At 51.4% G+C, this 12566-nt stretch overlaps 1 protein-coding gene across 5 annotated transcripts in view, besides 1 other annotated feature; it reads right to left on the reverse strand.

Annotated features, from left to right (window-relative positions):
- The window catches only part of CRACDL (CRACD like), a 142380-nt gene extending 135060 nt beyond the window's left edge, over nucleotides 1-7320 (reverse strand). For all 5 annotated transcript variants that reach the window (NM_207362.3, XM_005263926.4, XM_017003972.2 and 2 more), the window contains exon 1: nucleotides 7033-7320. The gene's annotated coding sequence lies outside the window, so the exon portion shown is untranslated. The remainder of the gene's footprint in view (nucleotides 1-7032) is intronic.
- Nucleotides 6487-6687: a silencer, noted in NCBI's record as "peak3796 fragment used in MPRA reporter construct". NCBI's record gives its function as "represses an SCP1 promoter by STARR-seq MPRAs in K562 erythroleukemia cells {active_cell/tissue: K562}" and the evidence as "EXISTENCE:reporter gene assay evidence [ECO:0000049][PMID:32103011]".
- Nucleotides 7321-12566: the final 5246 nt, after the last annotated feature.

The following is a 12566-nucleotide window of genomic DNA, read 5'->3' on the forward strand; positions in this document are numbered from 1 at the left end:
ATTCGGTTCCCGTAGAAATGATCACAGCTCAGAGACCGAATCACCCAGCCCCATGGAGAGGTGTGGCCATTTGACTCAGACCTTCAAGGGAGTGGGTCTGACCCCTGAAAACACCCCATTTCTTCTCCCTCCTCACCTCCACTGGCCAAGCTAGTGCTGCAGATTCAAAGTCACAAATCTTCCATGCAGAAAAGATCCACAAAAAAGTTCTTAATACCCCTCCTTAGGGAACAAAGGTCAATAATTAAGGTATTAAAGCAAGATCATAGAAACTCCGGAGCCAGGAGGGAGGTGTTAAACCCAGGTTAGAAAGCAGGCAAAGAGTGGAGATGGGGCTTCAGAGTGCTTGCGGTATTTCCCATGCCGCCTGCACAGAAGGGAGAGAACCCGAGAGCCACGGTCTGGGCCGATGCCCTTGGACCTGGTGTGGCCCCTGTGCCCACCGCACCTACTCCCTTACCTGTCTGGTGCAGACCTTGTGTGTAGTCGCAGAGTTGTAATCAGACCAAGAGCCCAGAGAGCAGCCCAGTATGCCTCAGACTCCAAGCAGCATCTACAGTGGGACGGGGGAGCCGCCTCTCTGGTCATGTCTCTGTCCTGAGGAGCCAGGGGAAGAAACCATCCCTGAGCACACAGTTCAGTGTCTGTGGACCTGAAGTGAGTGTAAGCAAAGCTTCGCGAACCTCTACAGACCCACACCTGGTCCCAGAATGCCCCAGGCACGGCAGGCTCCCCCATCTGGATGGGATGATGGCTTCACAAAACTATGCCCAATCTCAAAACCCATTCTCAGGGACGAGTTTAGTGTCTTCAATAAGGGGCATTTGTCAAATTGTTTGGGAACATTCAATTTTGAAGAAAAAAACAACAAACGCAATGGGTGAATCTCATAGGATATGTCAAGTAGAGATAAATAGGAAGTAGAGCAGGTGTATATCAAACAGAGGAGGAGATACGAGCTCTAAGACACCTAGTATTCATGAAGCACCACATGGACCCAAGGCAGCTGGGCAGCAAAGACTCACGATACATTCGACATGGAAAAGGTGCTCGATACCACGATACATTTGTATGCACGGGACCAGTTACCCAGAGGAACCTGATATTCCCTCAAAATTCGCTTCCCCACTGGTGACCCAATGCTGGTCCTCTGAATCCAAGGCTGTTCAACACACTCACTAGTGAGCCCAGACGTGGCAGGGCAGAACCATCCCTGTGTCTCTCCAACACGACGGGGCGTATGTCTTGGCCCAGGGCACCTCCCATCCGTGGCCCCCATGCAAGTGCTTCAAGTCAGGTCCTTCTCCTCACACATTAGTGGGGAAGGCGGATGCTGCAGAGCAAGACAGGACACACGGATGCTTTCCAGCTACCACATCTCCGTCCCCACCCTCTGTACCGTGTCCCCTACCCCATCCCCATCCCCACCCTCTGTACCGTGTCCCCTACCCCATCCCCGTCCCCACCCTCTGTACCGTGTCCCCTACCCCATCCCCGTCCCCACCCTCTGTACCGTGTCCCCTACCCCATCCCCGTCCCCACCCTCTGTACCGTGTCCCCTACCCCATCCCCGTCCCCACCCTCTGTCCTGTGTCCCCTACTCCATCCCCATCCCCACCCTCTGTCCTGTGTCCCCTACTGCATCTCTGACCCCACCCTATCCTACCTATATCACCTACCCCATCTCTGTCCCACCCCTGTCCTGTGTCACCTACCCCTCTTCCGTCCCCTCGCTTCTCCCTGTGTGTTCTAAATTGCGTCAAGGTTGTTCCCCACATGACAGCTTCCACCAGCAGCTGTGCTCAGGAGCACTGTGTATGGCAGTTATGCTCATTTTCCTTAAATGCCATCAGATCTCAGTTATGGAAGGACCCTTTATTGCTTTAGGGAACATTATTAGTAGGGGTCCTAACTGGTAGTTATAACAAATGCCCTTTAACCGTCTTACAAGAAAGACAATAAGAGAGTAATACCTATAAATAATTTATGGAGCATTTTCTATGTTTGTCATACAGCACCTCATGTAATGCTCATGTATGTGTGTGTGTGTGTGTGTGTGTCTACCACCCCCCCACCCCATCTAAGGGGTGACTGAGGTTGCAGGACTTCTAAGTGGCACAGCAGAAACCAGAGCCTGGGCTGGGCATGGTGGCTTACGCCTGTAATCCCAGCACTTCGGGAGGCCATGGTGGGTGGATCACTTGAGGTCAGGAGATCGAGACCAGCCTGGCTAACATGGAGAAACCTCGTCTCTACTAAAAATACAAAAATTTGCCAGGTGTGGTGACAGGCACCTGTAATCCCAGCTACTCAGGAGGCTGAGGCAAGAGAATCCCTTGAACCCAGGAGGCAGAGGTTGCAGTGAGCAGAGATCGCGCCACTGCACTCCAGCCTGGGCGACAGAGCAAGACTCCATCTCAAAAAAAAAAAAAAAAAAAAAGACACTAGAGCCTGACTCCCCTGACCTTGACTGGACCAACTGCTTTAAAAAGAAGGCAACCTCTCTGACATTTTCTCCTCCCACATATGGGGCAGTGTTTCCGAGAGTAGTTTCTTGGAAACTGCACACCCCGCAGCTAATGGTTCTGGTGCTTCCCACAGACATGAGAATTTGAGGGCAGAAACCATGGAGAGACTGGTGTATGGACCTCAGAGGTTAAGGCAAATATTTCTGGAAGTTCTTCAGCTACACACAGTTAAAAACCAGCCCCACACACCACAGCCAGGAGAAGGCCTGAGCAAATAAATACCTTTCCATCTGCACTTTTCAAAACGAACTTCCATAATTTCCTTTCACAGATACCCAGATCATAAGAAAAATGTCTGAGAATCCTTCCTACCAGCAGTCTCCTCCAGAATGGTATCTGAGCCTGTGAAAAGCTGGTGGCTGACGCTGCTCAGGAGGTGCCCTGTTACATCACATGCCTGTCTTATCATTTCCCATCATTTCACTGCTAAATTCACTGGGCACCGACAGAAACAGCATCTCTAGTTCATTATCCACTTGGCTCAGGATTATGGGTTAGACCCCCTTAAAAGCAATACAAATATCTTCAAGGTAATTTGTCAAAATCATAAATGTGTCTTAAGGACTCTTAATCTGACCTAAAGTTTTGAAGTTATTTTCCAGACACAGAGATCTAGAAAGAGCATTATTTGATGAGAATTCTCCTGATTTCCGTTCAGTTTGGGGAAAACAGAAGGATTTTGAACGCTGGCTGTCTGTGTTGTCCTACCCACAGGTGACACCAGCAGTACCGGTGTTTGCAGGTATCTAGACAACAGAAGAGATCGGCGGGACACCAGCCAGCATCAAGCCACAGGTGGGCCTGTGAACACCAGGCCGGGCCGGCCTGTCTCCCTTTCAAAGGCAGTTCTCTTGCATCTCACATCCATGTGGCCAAGTTGTTACTTTAAGTTCCACCTCCTCCAAGAAGCTTCCCCTGATTACCTCCCCTTCCAAATCCAGTGTGAACTGAGTGTGAACTAAATCCAGGGCTCAGGCTTGCAGGTACAGGCTTGACAAGGGCTCATCTTATTCACCAGAAGCAGCAATTATGACTCGGACCTTTCCGGCTTGTAGTGAGTGCCAAGCACACAGGGGGTTGCTCTGATGATGAGGCAGCAACAGCATAAATAGGAACGGTGGTTTGGAAGACGCCCATCCCCATGACAGTGGGCCGGGCTGTGTACGCAGAAAGCCATTCAATCCCCGCAACGCCGCTGCCAGCTACTCCTTCCTTGCCTTCTCCCAGCCCTGACTGAAGTCTCCAGCAGCCCCGACGGCTCTCCCAGTCTTTTTCAGGTAATAAAAAGGCCTAGCACACTTTACCCAAGACAGTGGTGAATACAGAGATATTTTAAACTTCCTTTTATGTATCAAGGGCAAAGCCTGGAAGCTGGAGCCTAGAGCTCTCCCCAAAGCCATGATGTGCAGAGGACAGAAGACAGAACCTAAGAAACAGCCCTGCCCCACAGGTAGAAAAATGCCTTCTGGGTCTGGGACATGAACCCAGGCACTGAGCACCTACCGCTGTGCACCCCACCTGGAGGAGCAGGGGTGGGGCTGAGGGGGCGTTCTTGTCCTGCTTCCTGTGGGAACTCAGGGAAGGCCGAGCTCAGAACAGTAGAAATGGAGGCCTAGTACGGTTCCGCACAACCTGGGCGGGCTCCCAGGTGCCCAATAGGGGCCCAGAAGAGACCTCAGAGCATGGGGACCTCTGGGCCAATGGAAGAGCCAGGTCCCCGCTGTGGCTCACCCTGGGGACACCAGCTGGACAATGATGGAAATGTGAGCCGGAGGCTCCATGTGGAGGGGAAAGGGACTCACTGGGGCACCGCAAGAGGACCAGATGACCAGTCAGGGCCACTCCCCTCAAGCTCTGATGGGACTACAACCCTCTCCTGGTGCCCAGGGGTGACTTGTAGCGAAAAGGGGTCCCCGAGGAGTAACGTGGAAAGACTGAGAGACTGACTCCCACCAGGGACGAAGCTACCTTTAAGCTAAATAGTGACTGAAATAATACCATTGAATTAGGCTCTAGAAAAACAGAACCATGCACTGGGAACTGAGTATATGAAAAAGGGAACCAAGGGACTTCACTAGGGACAGCAAAATCAAGCTCACTTACACAAAATTTTGCACCTTTCCACAATAAACCCTGGGCAGGTTTCCACCCAGAGAGTCCACCTGCAACACAAGCAGTATTTATGTGCACAACAAGCAACTGCATGACAAGGCACGGAGCCAGCCTGCAGGGGAAGAGCCAGTGACTGCAAGGTAGCTAAGTCAAATCCAGGCCCACCAGGACATCACAGAAAACCCACCCTCCTGGAGGCCTGGTACCTTCACATCTATTCTCTCATTTAACCAAGAGCATCCCTGAGGGCTGGCCAGCTGAGTCCATTTCAGCTGCTATAACAAAATACCATAAACCGGGCAGCTCATAGACAACAGACATTTATTCCTTGCAGTTCCAGAGGCTGGAAGTCCAAGATCAAGGCACTGGCAGGTTGGGTGTCTGGTGGGGGCCCATTCCTCATAGAAGGCGCCTCCTCACAGTGTCCTCACATGGTGGAAGGGACGAGCGAGCTCCTTGCGCTTCTTTTATAAGGGCACCAAGCCCATTCATGACCTATCACTTCCCAAAGGCCTCATCTCTTAATACCATCACCTTGAGGATTAGGAATCCACATATGAATTTTTGGGGGGACACAAACATTCAAACCATAGCACTATCACTGCTCTCATTTCCCTGAATGGTGCACTGAGATTGGTCAAGATTCATCCTTTTTTTTTTTTTTTTTTTTTGAGACTGAGCCTCACTCTGCTGCCCAGGCTGGAGTGCAGTGGTGCCATCTCAGCTCACTGCAACCTCTACGTCCCTGGTTCAAGCAATTCCCCTGCCTCGGCCTCCCGAGTAGCTGGATTACAGGCGCCACACCTGGCTATTTTTGTTTTGTATTTTTAGTAGAGTCAGGGCTTCACCACGTTGGCCAGACTGGTCACGAACTCCTGACCTCAGGCAATCCACCTGCCTCGGCCTCCCAAAGTGCTGGGATTACAAGTGTGAGCCATCGCGCCCAGCCAAGATTCATCTTAACTAGCCTAAGAGGGCCAAGCAGAGCAGTGATCTCAGCAGGACAGCCACCCGTTAGTGAGCCCCACATGACGCATCCTATGCAGCAGCTGAGCTGCGCAGCATCCATGGATGGTACACTTTATTTTATAAGTGAGGAAACAGATGCTTAGAGAGTAAGAACTTGACTCGTGGAGGAGGTCCAGAATCAGACTCAGGCAAGCCAGGTACTCACTACAGGCACAAAATTTAAGGGGGTACCAAAAATGCAGTCAGATAAATGCCTTATTACAATATTTTAAAACATCAAAACAAATACAAAAATCCCTAATGTACAAAATCTCACATTTTTAAATAAAGACAGGATCAGTGTTCCTGATTTTTCCTGTTGCCTCAGACTCCAAGATGGCACAGCATAGGGGCAGAGCCCAGAAACCAGCCCAGCTCAACCTTCTCCACCAGCTCCACACGACACTGTCTCTAGATATCTTTCTCCTCACAATTTTATAACCTCAATAGGTTCTTAGGATGACCACAGTGCTCCATCATTCCAGGTGTGCGCCCGTGGGACCGAGCTCCAGGGAAAATACCAGGGGTCTACACAGATTCTAGTCTATGGTATATGCAAATGAAGGAAGCCTGCAGGCTCCAATAACCTAGTAGGATACCTTAAGACCAGTTTGGGAAGGTGTGAGCTGGCTCTAAAAGGGTAACACAGCTGCCTGTCTTCCACTTGGATTTCCTGGCTCAAAACTGTCAACAGGACCTGATGCCTGCAGGCGGTTTGCACCTACACGGAGTCAAATTCACACAGCCGCACTGCTTCTGACTTGCATTTCAAAAGCAAGTGACTATTATGCTCTGATCACATGTGAACTTCATACCGAATCTTTGCCTATGATGAAGCTTCTGTTCAACAAATATTTGTTGATTAAAAATGTGAACACTTCTTAGATCAACTCCAGAATCCCTCCCGGGTGGCGTGTAATCAAAGCCTAAAACCTGTTAAATAAACCATCACCTAAAGCATAAGGCAGTTCGTGAATGTGTCCACTCCTTTCCCCTGCAACTGCGTGTGGAGACAGTGGGCATAAAGACCTCGTATGCTAGCAATTTCAACCGAGCAGGACCTTCTCTCCCTCCTCTTTCATTTTCCTGGCGCGTAAACTGCTGGATTTGCCTCACAGTGGAAAGTTGGGTCCAGCAAAGTGAGCAAAGGGAAACTTTGGGCACTTGCACGAGCGCGTCCGGCTCCCCCTCGGCCGCAGGAGCTGCCCAGGGCTTCGGCGGCGGGGGTGGCGCCTCTCCGGGTCCGAGGGGCCCCTGGCTTCACGGCCTCTGCCCTCGACCCCCTAGCCCCGGCCCGCCCCACCTCCGCCCGGTGCCCCCGCGCCCACCCCGCCTTCGACCCACGCCTGCCTTGGGACACGCGATTTCAAACCCCTCGAGGTACCTGGGACAGGAGCGTGGCCCGGGCTCGGCGAGACGCGCAGAGAAGGGCACCTTCCGCGGGGTGCGGCGAGCCGGGGCTGCTCCCGCCGCGGTGCGCGTCTAGCCCCAGCCCAAAGCCGGGGCGACGCAGCAGGTGGCCGCGCGGCCTCCAGACAGCCCGGGTCTGCGGCCGAAGAGCTGGACGCGGGCGCTGACACTACCCTCCCGCGGCCGGCCCGGCCCTGCGCCCGGCGCGCTCCCAGCTCCCAGCTCCCAGCTGCAGGCGCGCCGGCTTCGCTCGGCTCCGCTCGGCTCGGCGGGGGCGGACGCCGCTCAGCTCCCCTCGCCGGCCGCCGCGCGCACCTCCCCCGCGGCGCACAGCTCCCAACGCCGCCTCCGCAGCTGGCCCGGCGGAGTGGGGCCGAGACCTCGGGGCGGGGGGCGCAGGCGCCGGCCTGGGCCTTGGACGCCCCGCGGGAGGCGGGAGGGCGATCGGGGTGCGGGGAGGGCAATCGGGGTGCGGGCCCGGCTGCCCAGCGCTCCCTCCCAAGCCCGCGCCGCTCCCGACCCGCCTCGGCCTGTCCGCGCAGCGGCGCTGTCGGGGCTCCGGGAGGGCCGGGGGGCACCGGAGACCCGGAGGTGGTGGCAAGTCAGTCCGGGACTGGCCCAGGGCACCCGCGCGCGTCGGTGAGAGGGACCCGGGACTCCAGGTGACCTCCGGATCCGCCCTCTAAGTCAGTGGCCTGCGGCGGGCGTGGGCGCCGAGGGAAGGAAGTGTGCATTTGAATAAAAGTAAAAGTTTGTTATTGTTGTTGTTTTATAACCCTGTGGGTCCTGAGCGTCTCCAGGCTAATTAGGGAAGCTGCCGCCCCGTCTGGAGGTGATTCATGGGTGTGACACCGGCGAGTGTGGGAAGAAAGGCAGCTGATGCCGTCTCAGCTGCGCTCGCCTTTCTTTATTTTCTTTCTTTCTTCTTTTTTTAAAATCCTTTTTCTTGTAAAGACAGGGCTGGTCCATTTAGGGAGACCGCGCACGGAGGGAGCTGCCTTGGGTGGTCGCCCAGCGAATCTCCTCCGGAGCCCGAGCCGCGGCTTTGGTCTGCGGATGGCACAGCCCGGCGACCCCGTCCCGGCCTCTTCCCCGGCGGTGCACGCCCAGGGCCAGGCAGGCGAGAGGCGCGGGAGTCGCGTCCCAGCAGGGAGCCCAGGCTGCGACGAGTCCTCAGGGGACGCCTTCAACCCAGGCTGGAAGAGATGATACTAACGTCAGACGGGGAGTCTCGGGTGTCACCGGACGCCAGAATGAGCGGCGAGGTCCGCATTGTTTGGAGGGGATCACGCGGAATCCGCGCTACTCCGCGGGACGCTGGGTCCGACGGCTAGCGCCGCGCACACTGGAGGCCTGGAAAAGCCGAGCTGCTCGGCTGTCGGAGGCCGAGAGGGCCTGGACCCCGGAAGGAGCTCTCTCCACCTGTGGCTTTCAAGGGGCTCAAAATCCCAGATAGAAGAATCGAGCGAAACGAGGCCCAAGACAGTTTCCCATTTACTTGGGCATATCAAACGAAGTTTCCTTTTTGAATTTTTAATGTTATCCCTTGGCCACAAGCTATTCACGTAAAAGCCTCTTTTGATGGTTAAGTGCTTTAAGTTCCCTGTATAAAAAGAACAAAAATAGTGATTCAGCCTTATAACCCCCCCCCAAATTAATAACCTGCATTCACAATGAATGGGTGACTCATGACAATCAGAGACAACGAGTTTGTTGGGTGTCTGTGTGTTTGTTTTTTTCAAAATCCTCAAACTAAACTGAACAACTGCAAAAACTATACTCCCCTCTCTCCTCTCCCACCTTGAGCCTCTGCTCCTTGCTCTTCAAAATCATGTTAGTTTTTGCCGCTGTAACTACTAAATATTTATGGACTCCATAAACTGCCTTTCTACCTAAGAATTTCGTTTCCAGAATATCTTAAACCTCTGGCTTTATTTGTATTCTGTGGGTGGCTTTTGAAGTTCCTGGAGGTTTTCAGAAGACAAAAACCGAGGTTCCTGGTGATTAGTTAAGGCCGAGAACATGGTGTCAACACTCAAAATAGAAACTGGTGGGGAATTTTGTGAATAGGTTGGGAAAATGGAAAATTATCTGGAGCCTGGTAGAGCAAGCACCTTCATGCTTTAAAAATGTGGAAAGAAACTGTGCCCCTCCCCTACCCCTGGGACTTTCATCTTCCTGTGAGAGCTCTGGTTCCCAGGGCCCTGCCAAGTGGCTGGCAGTCAAGGAGGCTCTTCCCCTCCTTAATGCCTTTTGGATCAAGCCTTGAAGCCAGGTTAAGAAAAGACTAAAATGTTCAAGTAAGGATTTGTCAAAAGTGCAAAAGAAACATAGACCCCACATAGTGTTTCTTGCAGTCTGCATGGACAACCAGAAAGCCAAGAGCATGGGGTTGGTTGTTTTTTGAGGCTCCAGAAAATCTCTCAGCTACCCCTGAACACATCCCTTTCAGAGAAGGAGAACCTCATTGACAAGCCAAAAGAAAGAAGACCATGCTACTTCTAAATATATTGCACCTCACTGGGAACATGCTTTTATCAAATAACCGGGCACGGATCTAAGCCATTTACAAATAGTCACTCATTTAAATTATCCACCTGCCAGCAGACCCTCTGAGCTAAGACCTGCCATTACCCTGATTTTGCAACCGAGATGCTGCTATTATCTCCATGTGGTAGACGAGGAGACTCAGCATGAGAAGGGCAAGTACCATGCCCAAGGGCATGCAGATAGTAAGTGGCAGAGCCAGGGTTTGAACCCCTAATCTGCACTTAAGGCTGGGCAAAGCTGCCTTTCTGAAAATGATGTCTACCTCTGCAAACTGAAAATATTTTTTAGTTTAGAAAAGAAAGGAATATCAACCCTTCCCACACTAAGAGGAAGGCATCTTTTGGGATCTCAGAAAGCAAGAGTATTTACACTTTTGATATTTACACTTTAAAATATTTACATTTGCTTCTTCACTCAGTTATTCCCAACACCATCATCATCATTGCTAATCATCAGTCCTGAATCTTCACTTAGTCAAACCAGAGGCTGGTAATTAATGGGGTGAAGACGGTGAAGTCAAAGGCAGTGTGCTTTCTAACCCAGGATGGTAGCGGGGACAATTTTCAGGACAGTGTTCATCCCAGGGTTCTGCTTTTGGGTCTTCACAGACACTCAATCTGCTTGTCTTCACTTAGGTTCAGAAAATACAGGCCCCATAGGCACAGACATCCCTACCTGGGGAGAGGATTGGAGTCAAGGGCCAGCCAGGAACCAATTAGGAAGAAACAATATCTCAACAGGCCCATTGCCCAGGTGAGCCATGGTGGCAGAGGTCGAATTGAGCTGCCTCACTGCCAGAGGCCACAGGGACCCTACTCCTGAGGGGCTCTCTGCAGGCGGCTGTCCAGCAATACCCAGATCTTAGCCACCATCCCTCTGATCCTTCTCCAGCAATAGGGATTGGACCCTGTCCTTTCCCTGTTTCAAAACCCTTCCCTGGCTTCCCTGCAGTTAGGGTGAAACCCAGACTCCTTAAGAGGACCACATCTCCTGGGCTTCCTTTCAGTACCACCCTCTGCTCCCTCCACTCCAGCCACACTGGCTTTCTTCCAGTTCTGTGAACAACCCAAGCTTCTTCCTGCCCTGAGGGCTTAGCCCCAGCTGCCCCCACCCTTCACCTGGCTGACTCCCACTAATTTTTCAGGACTTAGCTTCAGTGATACTTCCTTTGGTCTTTTTTTCCTGACCTGTATTTCCCTCCTACTCCTCTTCTTTAGAGAACATATTACACTTTGGAGTGATTTATTTTTTATTCCATACTGGAGTCCCTCACCAGAGCACAACCTCCAGGAGGGCAGGGTCTGTATCTGTGTCTAGCACCTAGCACGGTGCTGGTTTACAATAGCTGCTGGATCAATATTTATTAATCAATGAACTTTCACCATGGCCTATTATGACCCTGAAACTGCTGTATCTCAAATGCATGAGACTGCACCCACTCTCTCTTCCCAATTTTTTTCCACCCTAGTCTTGATCCCGTTGTTTCCTAAACTTCTGCTCCTCCCCCATCCAAGGACCTTCTGCTCCAACTGCTCATTTCTCACTAGTCATCTCTCTCCAGCCTCCACCCTGCCTAGCCCTGGGCCTCATGGTCATCCCTTGACTGCTCTCTTACCAGCACCCCCAGTGCCCTCATCCCTTGGTCCCCCCCCACCCCCGCCAACACCTTCCTGGTTGAAACCCCAACCATACACCAGCCTCCTCTCTTCCTACACAAGCCCTTTTGTGCTGCCAAGGAAATTCACAGAACCATGCAGACCTAAACCACAAAAATACAGTCTCCACCCACACTTGGGCCTTACTACTTTGAGCCCATTAATGCCTAGTGTTCCATTATTGGAATGCTAAGCTTGTGGGAGTTATTTACATCCTACTGCTGAAGGTCATGGCCAAGGTCTGATTTTTCACATAAGAAAATTGCAACCTCCAGCATAAATGGGTTAAACATTCTCTGAAAAACAAACAGGATGGTACATAAAATAAGAAAGAAGGAAAGATCACCAATAATTCCAACCGCAGAGGCAATCACTGTTGGCATTTTATTGTTTTTCTTCCAGTTTTTCTTTTTCCAAAAAAGGGATTCAAGCTGGCCTGCAAACTCAAATGGCTTGTACATAGTTGAGATTAAGGCAAATACACAAGATTGTATCCTGTTTTTTTCAGCTACATTATACACAAGTATCTTCCCTTGTGATAATGTAGTTTTTATAAATATAAGTTTTTAATAACTAATATTTCATTATGTGATACATCATGATTTATTATTTTAAACCATTTCTGTATTGTCTTGTTTTCAACTTGGGAGTGTTCTACAAAATTCTTTAACAAGATCTGTATGCGGCAGACTCAGTGGCTCACGCCTGTAATCCCAGCACTTTGGGAGGCTGAGGCAGGCGGATCACCTGAGGTCGGGAGCTTGAGACTAGCCTGGCCAACATAGTGAAACCCCGTCTCTACTAAAAATACAAAAATTAGCCGGGCATGGTGGCACGTGCCTGTAGTCCCAGCTACTTGGGAGGCTGAGGCAGGAGAATCGCTTGAACCCAGGAGGTGGAGGTTGCAGTGAGCCAAGATCGTGCCACTGCACTCCAGCCTGGGTGGCAGAGCGAGACTCCGTATCAAAAAAAAAAAAAAAAAAAGTATCTGTATGCATAATTTGTCTGCATTTATTTTGCCTATATTTAATTTATTTCCTTAGGAGATATTCAGAGAGGAATCCCTGAGCTGATGGCTATGAATGAGCTGAAGGCTCTGAGTCTCAGCGTGGGAAGGCGTCTAAGGTTCTAAGGCCTGAAAAACGCCACATTATTTCCTTTGTTCCTGCACAGCTCACTTTGCCATTGCCCACAGCAAAAGTAGCCCTAACTGCTCTCACATACTGTGTGTTCCCGGTCTGCACCATGTTCTCCTCTGAACAGATGGTTTTGCGTTCTTCTTCGGAGAACGTTAATGATGGGT

The sequence above is a fragment of the Homo sapiens genome, chromosome 2 (genome assembly GCF_000001405.40).
Source record: "Homo sapiens chromosome 2, GRCh38.p14 Primary Assembly".
Taxonomy (NCBI): Eukaryota; Metazoa; Chordata; class Mammalia; order Primates; family Hominidae; genus Homo; species Homo sapiens.